General features: G+C 37.7%; 1 protein-coding gene across 5 annotated transcripts in view, besides 4 other annotated features; it reads right to left on the minus strand.

The window, feature by feature from the left end:
- MAP4K3 (mitogen-activated protein kinase kinase kinase kinase 3) overlaps nucleotides 1-15,549 on the minus strand; it is a 188,020-nt gene that overhangs the window by 114,161 nt on the left and 58,310 nt on the right. For 3 of the 5 annotated variants that reach the window (NM_001270425.2, NM_003618.4, XM_047446091.1), the window contains exon 2: nucleotides 14,640-14,697. The exons of the other annotated variants lie outside the window; for them this stretch is intronic. In NM_001270425.2, the coding sequence (NP_001257354.1) occupies nucleotides 14,640-14,697 (58 nt within the window). The remainder of the gene's footprint in view (nucleotides 1-14,639; nucleotides 14,698-15,549) is intronic. 5 annotated transcript variants of the gene reach the window in all.
- Nucleotides 705-1,271: an enhancer, noted in NCBI's record as "NANOG-H3K27ac hESC enhancer chr2:39591272-39591838 (GRCh37/hg19 assembly coordinates)". NCBI's record gives its function as "activates a minimal SCP1, AML or CMV promoter by ChIP-STARR-seq in primed H9 embryonic stem cells {active_cell/tissue: H9 hESC(primed)}" and the evidence as "EXISTENCE:reporter gene assay evidence [ECO:0000049][PMID:30033119]".
- Nucleotides 1,272-1,838: an enhancer, noted in NCBI's record as "OCT4-NANOG-H3K27ac hESC enhancer chr2:39591839-39592405 (GRCh37/hg19 assembly coordinates)". NCBI's record gives its function as "activates a minimal SCP1, AML or CMV promoter by ChIP-STARR-seq in primed H9 embryonic stem cells {active_cell/tissue: H9 hESC(primed)}" and the evidence as "EXISTENCE:reporter gene assay evidence [ECO:0000049][PMID:30033119]".
- Nucleotides 1,839-2,405: an enhancer, noted in NCBI's record as "OCT4-NANOG-H3K27ac hESC enhancer chr2:39592406-39592972 (GRCh37/hg19 assembly coordinates)". NCBI's record gives its function as "activates a minimal SCP1, AML or CMV promoter by ChIP-STARR-seq in primed H9 embryonic stem cells {active_cell/tissue: H9 hESC(primed)}" and the evidence as "EXISTENCE:reporter gene assay evidence [ECO:0000049][PMID:30033119]".
- Nucleotides 5,859-6,032: a silencer, noted in NCBI's record as "fragment chr2:39596426-39596599 (GRCh37/hg19 assembly coordinates)". NCBI's record gives its function as "represses an EF-1alpha promoter that drives an FKBP-Casp9 reporter gene in an ReSE screen in K562 erythroleukemia cells {active_cell/tissue: K562}" and the evidence as "EXISTENCE:reporter gene assay evidence [ECO:0000049][PMID:32094911]".

Consider the following 15,549-nt stretch of genomic DNA (forward strand, 5'->3'; position numbering starts at 1 on the left):
GGAGGCCGAGGTGGGTGGATCACCTGAGGTCAGGAGTTTGAGACCAGCCTGGCCAACATGGCAAAGCCCAGACTCCACTAAAAATACAAAAAATTAGCTGGGCATAGTGGCAGGTGTCTGTAATCCCAGGTACTTTGGAGACTGAGGTGGGAGAATTGCTTGAACCCAGGAGGTGGAGGTTGCAGTGAGCCAAGACTGTGCCACTGCACTCTAGCTTGGGCAATAGAGTGAGACTCTGTCTCAAAAAAAAAAAAAAAAAAAAAGAGCTATGGTTGAATGGGTGATGGATATATGAAATAGCTTGATTTGATCATTTCACAACATACATATGCATCAGAATACCATGTTGTAAACTGTAAACAAACAGTATACAATTTTTGTCATTTATACAGTAATCATACTGGGGATTTTTTTTTTAAGAGCAAAGGACTTGAACAGAAATTTCTCAAAAAAAGATATACAAATGGCCAACAGATCTATATCAAAAGATGCCCAACATTACTGTCTTCAGGGAAATGCAAATCAAAAACATAATGTCACTTCTCACCTGTTCAGATAGCCATTATAAAAAAAAAAAAAAAAAAGAAGACAATAGCAAGTGTTGTCCAGGATATGAATACCCCCGTCCACTGTTGATGGGAATGTAAAATGGTGTAGCCACTATGGAAAACAGTACAGAAGTTCCTCTAAATATTAAAAATAGAAATGCAATATGATCCAGCAATCTCACTTGTGGGTATATACCCCAAAGAACTGAAATTAGAATCTCAAAGAGACATTTGCACTCCAGGAAGCAGAATGGTCATGGCCAGAGACTGGGGGAAGTAAGAATTAGGAGTTGCTGTTCAATGTGTAAAGAATTTCAGTCACACAAGATGAAAATATTCTAGAGCATAATGTATAACATAATGGTTATAGTTAACAATACTGTACTAAATATTTAAATTTGTTAAGAGAATAGGTATCATGTGACGTGTTTTTACCACCATTGATAAAAAGAGACAAACTCTAAAATATTTGAAGAGATTTATTTTGAGCCAAATATGAATGACCAGTGGTCTGTAATACAGCTCCAAGAGATCCTGAGAACATGTGCCCAAAGTGGTTGGTTTTACACATTTTAAGGAGACATAAGACATCAATCAAAACGTGTAAGGTGGGCCAGGTGCGGTGGCTTACGCCTGTAATGCCAGCACTTTGGAAGTCCAAGGTGGGTGGATCACCTGAGGCCAGGAGTACGAGACCAGCCTGGCCAACATGGTGAAACCCCATCTTTACTAAAAATACAAAAATTAGCCAGGCGTGATGGCATATGCCTATAATCCCAGCTACTTGGGAGGCTGAAGCAGGAGAATTGCATAAACCCAGGAGGCAGAGCTTGCAGTGAGCCAGGATGGTGCCCCTGCACCAGCCTGGGCAACAGAGAGAAACTCTGTCTCAAAAAAAAAAAAAAAAAAAGATAATGGGTAGCAGAGACCAAGGTTTTATCATGCAGATGAAGCCTCCAGGTAGCAGACTTCAGAGCTTTTGTCAGACCTATGAAGTGCCAGACTCAGTTAATTCTCTCCTGGATCAGGAAAAAGACCTGGAAAGGAAAAATGAATCCTCTATAGAATACAGATTTCCCCCACAAGAGACGGCTTTGCAGGACCATTTCAAAATATATCAAAGAAATATACTTGGGATAAAATACTTCTATTTCTTTCAGGGCCTGCTATCTGTCATGTGATGCTATACTAGAGTCAGGCTGGAATTCTGTGTCTTATTGCTATAAAAAGTCTGTTCACTAGTCTTAAGATCTCTATTTAAATGTTAATGTTGGTCAGCTGAGCTTGAATTCCAAAGGGAGGAGGGTATAATGAGGATGTCGGAGTCTCATTATGATGGTAACATCATGGCCTGAACTAGTTTTTCAGGTTAACTTTGGAATGCCCTTGGCTGAGGAGAGCCTCCATCAGTCGGTTGGGGGGCTTAGAATTTTATTTTTGGGTTACGCCATAGTAATTTTTTTTTTTTTTTTTTTTTTTTTGAGACGGAGTCTCGCTCTGTCGCCCAGGCCGGACTGCGGACTGCAGTGGCGCAATCTCGGCTCACTGCAAGCTCCGCTTCCCGGGTTCACGCCATTCTCCTGCCTCAGCCTCCCGAGTAGCTGGGACTACAGGCGCCCGCCACCGCGCCCGGCTAATTTTTTGTATTTTTAGTAGAGACGGGGTTTCACCTTGTTAGCCAGGATGGTCTCGATCTCCTGACCTCATGATCCACCCGCCTCGGCCTCCCAAAGTGCTGGGATTACAGGCGTGAGCCACCGCGCCCGGCCCATAGTAATTTTTAAAATGTCCTATAGCCAAGAGAAAAATGTAAGCTTAGACTACGAAAAATCAACAAGGTTTCTCATGCCATTGTTATGGGTATTTCACTCTCAAATCTTCCCATTTCCATTCTATTTTAAACACAGAGAAGTGAGAACACACATCTACGTTACATGTAAAAGTGTTTTAAAGTCAATTTCAAATTAACTTTTAATTTCATGTGTGGTGTCATTCAAAATACATAATTTCTAAACTCCATTTCATATGGTAGAAACAATAAATGAAATTAACAGTACTTCAGTTGTTCGTGAAAGGAGTCAAACTCTGTAAAATATTTGAAGAGATTTATTCTGAGCCAAATATGAGTGACCAATGGCCCATGAAAGAGTCCTCAGGAGACCTGAGAACATATGCCCAAGGTGGTCAGGGTACAGCCTAGTTTTATACATTTTAGGAAGACCTGAGGCATCAATCAAATACATTTAAGATTTACATTGGTTTGATCTAGAAGGGTGGGACAGCTTGAAGCAGGGTGGTGGGGTGGGGGTGGAGGTGGTGGCTTCCAGGTTAGAGGGAGATTTTAAAAATTTTCTGATTGGCAATTGGTTTAGAGTTATCATCAATAGAAAGGAATGTCTGGGTTCTGATAAGGGGTTGCGGAGACCAAGGTTTTATCATGCAGATGAAACCTCCAGGTAGTAGGCGTCTCTTCAGACGTAAATGTTTCAGACGAAATTTCAGACGAAGAAATGTTTCTCTTGAGATGTAAGATCTGTACTGATGTTAATACCAGTCAGCTTTCCCTGAATTCAGAAAGGGAAGAGGGCGTAGTTCCACCTCTGCTTCCATCATGGCCTGAATTTTTCAGGGTAACTTCGGAATGCCTTTGGCCCAGTGGAGGGGTTCGTTTAGATGGTTGGGAGGCCTTGGAACTTTATTTTTTGGTTTACACAGTAATCTATGGCTAACATTCCAACTTCTCTTAAGTTGTCAATTACTGTGTCAAACTACTGGAGTACCAGGAAATACTCTGAAACACTATATTAAATTATCAGGGTATCTTGAAACCCACTGGCTAATCTTTAAAAAGATAAGAAATTGGCTTAAGTAATTACAACATAAAATTAGAAAAAACTTTTCTAAAACCACAGAAGCAGCACCCAACTTTGAATTTTTGAAGAAATATTAAAGCCCTGATCAATAACACAGAAATACAAAGGAAGTATCTAATAATCCTATTGATTCCTACTTATTTCAAAACAAATGAAAAAATGATTAAAACAGCAATATTTGTATTTTTTTCAGAAATGAGAATGAAGAAAACAACCCTTCAAATACTTCACCTGATAAAAATAACTTAGAGTCTATTTATTTGTTTGGCTGTATTTTAGTAAGTGTTCTTGATTAATGTTTAAGATAAGTATCACTTACATTTACATACATTGTTACTGAATGGCCTTTGAACTTGGGTTCCACAAAGCCAAGTAGAAATTCCCTTGCTCAAACTATCTAAACAAAAAAAGAAGCCAGGCACAGTGGCTCACACCTGTAGTCCCAGAACTTTAGGAAGCTGAGGCAGGTGGACTGCTTCAGCCCAGGAGTTTCAGACTAGCCTGGGCAACATGGTGAGACCTCATCTGTAGAAAAATTAAAAATAAGCTGGGTATGGTGGTGTGAGCCTGTAGTCGCAGCTACTTGGGAGGCTTAAATGGGAGGACTGACTGAGCCTGGGTGGTTGAGGCTGCAGTGAGCTGTCACTGTGCCACTGCACTCCAGCCTGGGTGACAGTATGAGACTCTATCTAAAAAAACAAAAAAAGAAAAGGAAAAGGAAAAAGAAAAGAAAGAAACCATGGCCCTGGCTCCCTAAAAAAAAAGTCTTACTCTAGAGCTGGGCATGGTGTTGGAAGCCTGTAGTCCCAGATATTTGGGGGACTGAGGTGAGAGTTTGATCCAACCTGGGCAACATAGTGAGACCTCAACTTTAAGATAAAAAGAAAAAATGTCTACCCTAATGCTGTGTTTCCCAACTCTGTTTTCCTAATGCCTCTCCCCAAGAAATTTTAATACCACAGATATTCTGCATGTTTATGTATTATGCATATATACATACATATATCTGTGCTTTGTACATAAAAAGAATTAAGATTTTTTTCATCCCAAAGAACCAGTTCCACTCCTTTCTTATTTTAAAGGAATATTTGAGAAAACATTCTCTAGTGCAAATGGATTGTGTCCAGGTAGTCAGGGAAGGAGGGCTTAACTTGAGCTTCCTGACCTATAAACCTGTTTGGTCTCCTTTTCTTACCTGGATCCAGCTCTTTTGAGAGCCAGGTTTACCCGAGTGGTTCTGATGGAAGGCCCAAAATAAGGAAGGTACCCGTAACTCAGGACTGAATTTCTAGTGAAAATCCTCTGGAGTATATCGCGCCCCCTGCCTACTAAAAATTATGGCAGCAACCCTACAGTTTCTATATGTAAAGTAAGTATTATAGTAGACTCAAAAAATGTTTCTGGAGTAAGGACAGAAAAAGGAAAAATAGAGCACGGTGTAGATTTTAAGGGAAGTGAAGAATACAATGGGCAAAAAATTTTCTGTTTTTATCATGCCCACCAACAAGAACAATGACATATTGTTTAAAATAGTTTTAGCTGGACACAGTGGCTCATGTTTGTAATCTCAGAACATTGGGAGGCCAAGGCAGGACAATCACTTGAGGCCAGGAGTTTGAGACCAGCTTGGGCAACACAACGAGACCCAGTCTCTACAAAAAAAACTAAAAAATTAGCTGGGTGTGGTGATGCACACCTGTTAATACCAACCAGTAGTGAGGCTGAGGCAGGAGGATCGCTTGAGCCCAGGAGTTGGGGCTGCAGTGAGCTATGATCACATCACTATACTCCAGCCTGGGTGACAGGGTGAGATCCTGTCTCTAAAAGAAAAAGAAAAAAAAAATCCCAAAAAAGAAAAAAAGTTAAATAAAATAGTTCTAATTTTGGACGTTTTTAATTTCTCAACTTTCTGTTCTCTCACCAGATCTGATTTAAAGATAATTTTTTTTAGCAGCTCCTGATCTGTTCTTGAGGTTACATAGGCATAAACCACAGCTGTATAAAACTCATGAAAATGAGTTTCTAAAATCAAAACAACAAACCTATTCTTCCCATAAACTCAATTTTTACATATATCGTACCTCTCCCTTATCCCTTGTAACCTATCAATCACGTTTTAAGTTCTATCCACCCTAAAATCTCATGCAGTCACCCCTTCCTTCCCTCTGCACATAACTCAAGCATGGCTGTCACAACAGTAACATGTCTTCTCACCAGCAGGGCTTCTCTCCCATCTGCCTGTGTACACTGAATCTGCCTACAGTTATACTCTGACCATGTTACTAACCTGTAAAAACAAACGAAATCCCACTGTTTTACAGGGTAAAATCTAAACCTTTGGGCTAGTTTTTTTTTTTGTTTTTTTTGAGATGCAGTTTTGCTCTGTCACCCAGGCTAGAGTGCAGTGGTGTGATCTTGGCTCACTGCAACCTCCGTCTCCCAGGTTCAAGTGATTCTCCTGCCTCAGCCTCTCAAGTAGCTGGGAATACAGGTGCGAGCCACCAAGCCAGGCTGATCGTGAACTCCTGACCTCAGCTGATCTGCCCGCCTCGGCCTCCCAAAGTGCTGGGATTACAGGCGTGAGCTACTGGGCCTGGCTGCTTTGGGCTAGTATTTAAGGCTTTCCATAAACTATCATCAGTTTTCCACTTCTTATTTCCCACCATGCTCACATAGAGCATACTACTCTAGACAAATCAAACTACTACTTCCAAACAGGCCTAGTACTTTCATACTACCTTTGCTTTTATACTATCCTCATGTGGAATACCCTCCATTCTCTTATTCTACTAGCAAAATCCTAGCCAGTCTTGAAGGCTCATCTGAAGTTTTACTTCCTTATCCCAAGGGAAGTGGAACTCACAGCTTCTATGGAACCCACCAAATATAAGTTAGGCTACATCAGCCACTCTGCACTATGTGTATTCTTTCACACAGCATCCTACCTAGATATTCCCAACCCAGAGTATTTCGGAGTAAATAGTCAAAGGCGGATCTTCAGTGACCCATGAATTAAGTCTTTCTAGTCACAGCCATCACCGTTCCTTACTGCCAGCACCACCACCTACATATGCACACACACTCTGCTCAATGGGTTCTCCGTAGTTAGGCTGCTACTTACATAAACATTCTAGTTTTCACATTGGATAACAAGTTACTGGAAGGCAGGAACCATATCTCCGTATCTTCCTTCTAACTAAATTAAGTACTAAATAAACATCCTTGAAGCCAAATCACTGGTCATAAACAGAGGACTGAGAATAAGAAATACACTGCAGATAAACAAAACAAAAAGTCCTTTGTCAGTTGCTTTTTTATTTTGGAGCATTATTACCTTTCAATGTGTAAATATTCAATCTCTCCAGCTCAGTCAGCCTCAAGTCATAGTATGATTCTAATAAATTTAAGAGTGACTAAGCTATCCATGATTAACCTTTGAAGAATAATTATCATGAATGATGTAACAACTACTCTATTCATGATGGCGATAAACACAAGGCAGCACTGAATAAGCACATGGTGGCAAGGGATCCACAAAAACACTCAAGGGAGATGGGAAAAGGCACCAGATAAATCATATCCCCAATGTTTCGCCACTCTATGATGAAAGATAAGGAGGCAGAAAGCACCTCTACTACCTCTCAGGAAAGAAAAAACTAATGTCAAAGGCTGGCAGGAGAGAATATTCCATAACATTTAACTTTGGAGGTCCATGAAAAAATAGTGGAATAAGGTCTTATTGGTACTTTTTTGCACTTTTAAAATTTAGCTTTACAATTTAACGCATGTTGCTCTCACGGAAACAAAGCATAATACCCTATTTTCTCACTACAAGTTTCTCTGTTTATCAACCTCAGTAGTTTTCATTGTGTTGGAAAAGGAATGAGTTTCCCCATTTAGAAGAGTTTTTCCTATGAGTTGCTACCTAATGAATCACTGTTATCTATCTGCATTTGTATCATATTATAATAACTAGTGCTGCAAACAATACCACAAATGAGTATAAGTAACTTTTAAATTCTGACTTTAAATCACAAAAAGATTCCAGATCTATAACTTATTTATATAATAACACCTTATCAGAACTTGAAAATAAAGCCCCAAAGAATATATATATAAATTCTATTCTACTAGCAAGCTCTGCCATAGCTCTCATCTTGATCCATTTTTAATTTTTTTTTCCCAAATAAGTCTCAAGAATTGGCAGTGTTCTAGCCGGATCAGCCACAGACCACAGGAACAAACCCGTCATCTGACAAATTCAGGTTTACTGACCCATTGCAATGAGGAAAACTACACGCCAGAGAAATCTTAGGGCATCTCACCAAAAGAAAAGATAAGAGTTTTTGTAATATTTTGAATAAAATGGAAGTGAGGTGAAATTTAAATGAAGTGGTGTTTTGATAGGCTTAGAGCAAAGGAGAGCTGTATGTAAAGGGGCAGACTTCAGGATTGGATTATAAAATGAACCCAAGGTTCTTTGTCCTTATAAGCAACAAAGTTACGATGGATGTGAACACTGTCTCTTACCTGAAGCTCTGCCATCTGGGATGTAAATCAAGACTGCTTCTCTATGTCAAAGTGACTTAGGTTCTCCAGGAAAGAGTGGAATGTTTAACTCTTGCCAATACACGTTGAATTTCCCTAATTCAAAAATCTGATATACACAATGCTCCAAAATCCACAACTTTTTGAGCACTGATGTGATGCAAATGAACTAAATTCTGCAATCAAAAAACAGAGTGGCTGAATGGATAAGAAAATAAGGCCCAATGATCTGTTGCCTACAAGAAACACATTTCACCTATGAAGATACACAGACTAAAATAAAGGGATGGAAAAAGATATTCCACGCCAATGGAAACAAGAAAAGAACAGGAGTAGCTATATCAGAAAAAAAAGATTTCAAAATAGAAACTGTTAAGAAGAGCTAAGAAGGTCACTACATATATATCCTCTCTCTCTATATATATATATGTATATATATACGTATACATACACACACATCTATCTATATACATCCTCTTGCTGAATTGATCCCTTTATACATATAATATATATTACATATATTTATATATTAAATTTTTGTAGAGCATTCAGACAAGAGCAAGAAATAAACGAGCATCCAAATTGCAAAGGAAGCAGTCAAATTATCCTTGTTTGCAGATTATATGATCTTATATTTGGAAAAATCTAAAGACTCCACCAAAAAACTATTAAACTGATAAATTCAGTAAAGCTGCAGGACACAAAATAAATATTCAAAAAGTAGTATCATTTTTGTATGCCAAAAGTGAACAATCTGAAAAAGAAATCAAGAAAGAAATTCCATTTACAATAGCTACAAATAAAATAAAATAAAACACCTAGGAATTAACCAAAAAAATGAAAGATCTCTACAATGAAAACATAAAACATTGATGTAAGAAATTGAAGAAGTCACCAAAAAAAAATGGAAAGATATTCCATGTTCATGGACTGGAAGAATCAATATTGTTAAAATGTCCATACTACCCAAAAGAATCTAAGGATTTAATGCAATTCCTATCAAAATATGAATGACATTCTTCACAAAAATAGAAAAAATTATCCTAAAATTTTTAGGGACCCACAGAAGACCTAAAATAGCCAAAGCTATCCTAAGGAAAAAAAAAAAAAGAAACTGTAGGAATCACATTACCTGACTTCAAATTATACTACAGAGCTATGGTAACCAAAACAGCATGCTGCTGGAAAAACAGATACATAGATCAGTGAACAGAATGGAGAACCCAGAAATAAATCCAGACATGTACAGTGAATGCATTTTCAACAAAGATACCAAGAACATACACTGGGGAAAGGACAGTCTCTTCAATAAGTGGTGCTGAGAAAACTGGATATCCATAAGCAGAAGACTGAAACTAGACCCCCTTCCTCTTACCATATACAAAAATCAAATTAAAATGGATTAAAGACATAAATCTAAGACCTCAAACTATGGAAATACTACAAGAAAACATTGGGGAAAATCTCCATGACACTGGTGTGGGCAAAGATTTCTTGAGCAATATCCTACAGGCACTAGCAACCAAGCAAAAATGGACAAATGGGATCACATCAAATTAAAAAGCTTCTGCATAGCAAAACAAATAATCAACAAAGAGAAGAGACAACCCCATGAATGGCAGAAAATATCTGCAAACTACTCATCTGACAAGGGATTAACAACCAGATTATATAAGGAGCTCAAACAACTCCACTGGGGAAAAAAACCCTAATTCAATTTAAAAATGGGCAAAAGATCTGAACAGACATTTCTTCAAAGACATAAAAATGGCAAACAGGTATATGAAAAGGTGCTCAACATCACTGATCATCAGAGAAATGCAAATCAAAACTATACCATGAGATATTATCTCCCCTTATTCAAAATGCCTTTTATCAAAAAGATAGGCAATAAATGCTGGTGAGAATGTGGAGAAAAGGGAACCCTCCTACACTGTCAGTAGGAATGTAAATTAACACAACTACTATGGAGAACAGTTTGGAGGTTCCTCGAAAAACTAAAAATAGAACTACCATACAATCATGCAATTCCACTCCTAGATACATACTCAAAAGAAAGGAAATGAGTATATCAAAGAGAGATCTGCACTCCCATGTTTACTGCAGCACTATTCACAATAACCAAGATTTGGAAGCAACCTAAGTGTCCATCAACAGATGAATGAAGAAAGAAATGTGATACATACGTACAATGGAGTACTATTCAGCCATTAAAAGGAATGAGATCCTGCCATTTGCAACAACATGGGTGGAACTGGAAGTCATTATGTTAAGTGATATAAACCAGGCACAGAAAGACAAACATCACATGTTCTCATTTATCTGTGGGAGCTAAAACTCAAAACAATTGAACTTAAGGAGATAGAGAGTAGAAGCATGGTTACCATAGGCTGGGAAGCTTACAGGGCTTGGTGGGGGGGTAGAAGGGATTTGGAGATGGTTAATTGGTACAAAAAATTAGAAAGAATGAATAAGCCCTAGTATTTGCAAGCACAACAGGGTGACTTTAGTAACAACAACAACAAAAAATCCAATCATACATTTTAAAATAACTGGAAGAGTATAACTGGTCTGTTTGAAACACAAAGGATAAATACTTGAGATGACAGATATCCATCTACCCTGGTGTGATTATTATGCATTGCGTGTCTGTATCAAAATAGCTCATGTAACCCAGAAATATATATGCCTACTATGTACCCACGAAAATTAAAAATGGCTCACATCTGTAATCCCAGTACTTTGGGAGGCCCAGGCAGGCGGATCACTTGATGCCAGGAGTTTGAGGCCATCATGGCCAACAGGATGAAACCTTGTCTCTACTAAAAATACAAAAATTAGCCAGGCATGGTGGTGCATGCCTGTAATTCCAGCTATTCATGAAGATTGCTTGAACCCGGAGGCGGAGGTTGCAGTGAGCCAAGATCACACCACTGCCTGGGTGACAGAGCGAGACTCTATCTCAAAACAATAAAAAATAAAAATTAAAATTAAAAATAAATTAGGCCAGGTTCGGTGGTTCACGCTTGTTAACCCAGCACTTTGGGAGGCAGAGGCGGGTGGATCACCTGAGGTCAGGAATTCAATACCAGCCTGCCCAACACAGTGAAACCCCGTCTCTACTAAAAATACAAAAATTAGCCGGGCGTGGTGGTGCACCCCTGTAATCCCAGCTACTCGGGCAGCTGAGGCAGGAGAATCACTTGAACCTGGGAGGCAGAGGTTGCAGTAAGCTGAGATCGGGCCACTGCACTCCAGCCTGGGCAACAGAGCAAGACTCCATCACAAATTAAAAAAAAATTAAACAAAATTTTTTAAATTTTTTAAATTTAAAGCTGCATAATTAAGATGAGAAGCAACAGTCAGACACCTTGGAGTAACTTCACATTTAAACAATTTGGTCAAAAGGTCTGCGTAAGTTTTTATTTTGCTTCAGGTTCAAATTGCTTATCAGCTGTAAAAAAAGGAAAAAGGAACAAACTCTAGACAGAAATTCTTAAAATCCAACATGTTGCACTAGACTATTTCAGACTTAATTTTTGTTTCCAAAAAATGGAAGACTAGCCATCAAAAACTCTAATTTAGGCCAGACATAGTGGCTCATGCTTGTAATCCTAGCAGTTTGGAAGGCCGAGGTGAGAGGTCTCTTGAGACCAGGTATTCAAGAGCAAACTGGGCAATATAGTGAGACCCTGTCTCTACAAAAAATAAAAATTAGCTGGGTGTCATGTCATACGCCTGCAGTCCTAGCTACTTGGGAGACTGAGGTAGAAGTATACCATGAGCCCAGGAGATCAAGACTGCAGTGAGCCACGATCCTACCACTGCACTCCAGCCTGGGCTACAGTGACACTGTCTCTTAAACACACACACACCCCTCTACCTTAGAAAAATGTGAGCGTAACACCACTCGTGAAGTAGTTCCCTCCTCCATACCCCAAATAAAACCGGAGTCTACTCAGTTCTCTAGAGATATCTATCAAGTCACCAAAGAATATATTACATGATGCTACAACAAGGCAATCAGCAAAATCTGGACTGGGGGGGAACTTTACAGGATAAATGATCGAGTTACTTCCACAGAAAATTACAAGGAAAAAAGATAAAAAGAAATTAAGTGGGAACCTATAGATATAACGTAGCAACTATTTGCTAAGCGTAGGTCTTATTAATAAAGAACTGTAATGTTGTTAATGGTTGTAGTTACGTATCTTTAATAATTTTATTAAGGCATACGTTTAAATTGGATAGTTCAGCAATTTCAAGTGTATAATTCAATGGTGCTTTTAGTAAATTTACCAAGTTGTACAACCATCACTAGATTATTCCCATAAGACCCTTCACGTACAATAATTGTTAGTCCACCTCGTCCCCAGCTCACCAGATTAACTTTCTGACACCACAGATTTGCCTTTTCTGAACCTTTCACATGGAATCATACAGTATGCAGTTTTGTGTGTCTAGCTCCTTTCACTTAGCACGTTTTGGTCACCTATGTTACAGCATGCTATCAGCAACTTGTTTTTATTGTTGAATAGTATTCAATTGTATGAACACAACATATTCATTCACCAGTTGATGGGCAGTTAGACTGTTTCCAATTTTGAGACATACTGTGAATAATGCTACTATAAACATTTGTGCATGACAATCATTGTGTCGGCAGATATGCAAGAGTAGAATTGCTGGGTCATTATGGCAAATTTATGTTTAACACTTTAAGGAAGTGACAAACTGTTTTCCAAAGTGGTTGCACCATTTTACATTTCCACCAGCTGTGTATGAGGGTTCCTGTTTGTGATTACACTTTTTGAGTATTTATACTTTAGGCATATACACAGAAATACTATGGGCTGGAATTTTATGATTGAGGGATCAAAATAACTGGTGGCGGGGGGAAATGGGTAGCTGTAATAGAGGAAACATATTTATGGTGATTAACCTTTGTTTTCTCTGGGTGGCAGAATATGAATGATTTTTATTTTTTTCCTTTTGTATAGTTGTATATTCTACTTTTATTACATTGATCAATATACACATGGCAGTGTCCAAGACTGACAGTGCAACAACTTGAACATTTCATGAACAGAAAATAATTGACTTGAACAGTAAGCTTTTTCAAGTTTTTAATTTTTTAAGGAAATTTTAAGATGTACAGAATGAGTACTATGTGCCAGGCCCTAAGCTCAGTGCTGGGGGCACAAATTTGATTAAAACTTAGAAACAAAGAAAGGCAAGTCTAGAATGACAATATAGCTATGGTCAGTGCTACAGCAGAGCTAATCACTCAGGAGTCATCTTAATTAGACCCAGGGTCAAGCAAGGCTTCCTGAAAGAGAAGGTTTCTTGAGGGAATGATGTATACACAAAATACTTCTCATTAGAACCATTTCATTAAGTAACACAGTCACTGCTTAATGATTAAAAATGAAGGCCCTGCTTTAAATGCCAAATTTCTTTTTGTAGCTAATATTTCAACAACTTCAAATATCCTTCTTAAATTTCTTATGAATTGAAGAGTAGGAGATTCAGAAAAAAGATAAACATCTTGTCTTGCGATGTTTAGAATATAACGACTACATAAAATCTGTAAATATGTATAACTGGAAAATTTTTTTAATTCATTTTATTTATGTGTGGTTTGATCACAGTCAATCAGCACATCCTTAAATTTTCATTTTAATATCACTTCTAAAAAGTTTATTGATGCTCTAAATAAGGGGTGAGCAAACTATAGGGAAAGAGGGAGAACTGAATATAGAGACCATACATGACCTACAAAGTCTAAAGTATTGGCTATTTGGCCTTTTTTTTTTTTTTAAACAGAAAAAGTTTTTCCACTCTTGCAAAGTCTCTGAATGGATTTCTGTTCATACTGGAGCTAAAACTTGTTTCACCAATAAACTCTTATTATCAGCTTGTAAAGGAAGAAGTCATCAGAAAGGCACTAACTGCTGTGGTACTCGGTCTAGACACTAGCACAATTATAGACTTGCTTATGGTGGGAAGGAGAAAGAGTGGGAAGGGGTTTCTAAGAGAGAATAAACAAAGAGTGAGTAATTAGCTAAGAAAAATGTGGGTTTTGAGGGAAGTAGGAGGAATTCAAAGAACATAGTTGAAGCAGACAAAAAATAAGGAGTAGCCTTAAGGGGCTTTACAATAAGCTGCTCAATTTGGTAGACAACTGCTGGGATAGCAATGAAATACAGAATGTGGAAGCTAGATCTCCTGAGAAAAACTGAGACTCAGAGACATGAAGCTATTTGCCCAAGTTCACAGAGCAAGGGAGTGGGAGACAAACTGAACTACAACTACCTAAATTTCAGTTCTGTTTTTTCCACTACATCACACTGACACCACAAGACGTCAGCCTGGAAATAAACCACTATCAGCTTGTCACAAGTTAGCTCAACTGAGTTCAGAAAGAACAAAGTCTTTTCAGGAGGAGTTCCCCTTCCTCCCCCAATTATCAGTTACTTTTCAGGGAAGAACTGAGCAAGGTGTGTTGTATGCAGAACTTGAAGAAGTGGAGGAAAGGGCATACAAGCAGCTCTATTTATCCCAGATGTTGGGGAAAACAAGAGAATGTTAACCAAACATCATTAAAATAAGCCTTAAGATATCCCATGGCTTTCTAGCAGTAAGAAAAAATGAATTTCAAACAATTTACCTGGTTCCAATTTTATTACTTTAATTGCTGCTAATTCACCAGTGTTAACATTCCGTGCCTAAAAGAAAGAGGAAAAAAGGATTATTGTGAAGAAAGCTTTCATAAAAAGTGTATAAAATTTCACTTTAGCTTACTGTTTTCAGTTATATAAAAATATTTTAAAAGAAATGCAAATGTAATTTATATTTACAAAACAAATAGTTTTTCCTTCACAATAAATTTCAACATTTATGTATAAATTTAATATTGGCAAAACTAATAGCTAATATACACTTAGATGTTAGTACGGATGTGCCAGGCACTATTCTAAATGTTTTAATATTAATTCATTTAATCCTCACAACAACCTTATAAAATAGGTACTGATATTATTCTCATTTTGCAAGTGAGGAAACTAAAGGACATAGAACTCAAAAGAACTTAACAAGGTCATACAGCCAGTGAGTCGACAGTGCTGGGATTCAAACCTAGGCAGTCTAACTCCACAGTCTGAGCCTTTAAGTATTACACTGTATTGCTATTCATTCAAAGGCTAGTTGAACTAATTAACTAGCCTTATATTTTTTCATTTAAAAGCTTTAGGATATGAAAGGCTAACACAATTGTGTATATAATTATGAAAACAGGCCCCCTGCATCCTTTTAAACACACCTGATGGTACAGTCAAATACATGTAGTTCAATGCAAAACCTATTTTTGTAAGCCACATATTAAAAATCACTTTAAAAAATCAAATTATAGATTCCTGGCATTTACAACTGTATAATTATGTATATAAGTACACATAATTATATTATGTGTATTTATGTGTACATATAACAATATATATTATATATAATACACATATAAATAAGCAGAAACTATATTAAAATGGCAGTAAGTCTTTGTCAATTTAAGATATTTTATAATT

The sequence above is a fragment of the Homo sapiens genome, chromosome 2 (genome assembly GCF_000001405.40).
Source record: "Homo sapiens chromosome 2, GRCh38.p14 Primary Assembly".
Classification (NCBI taxonomy): domain Eukaryota; kingdom Metazoa; phylum Chordata; class Mammalia; order Primates; family Hominidae; genus Homo; species Homo sapiens.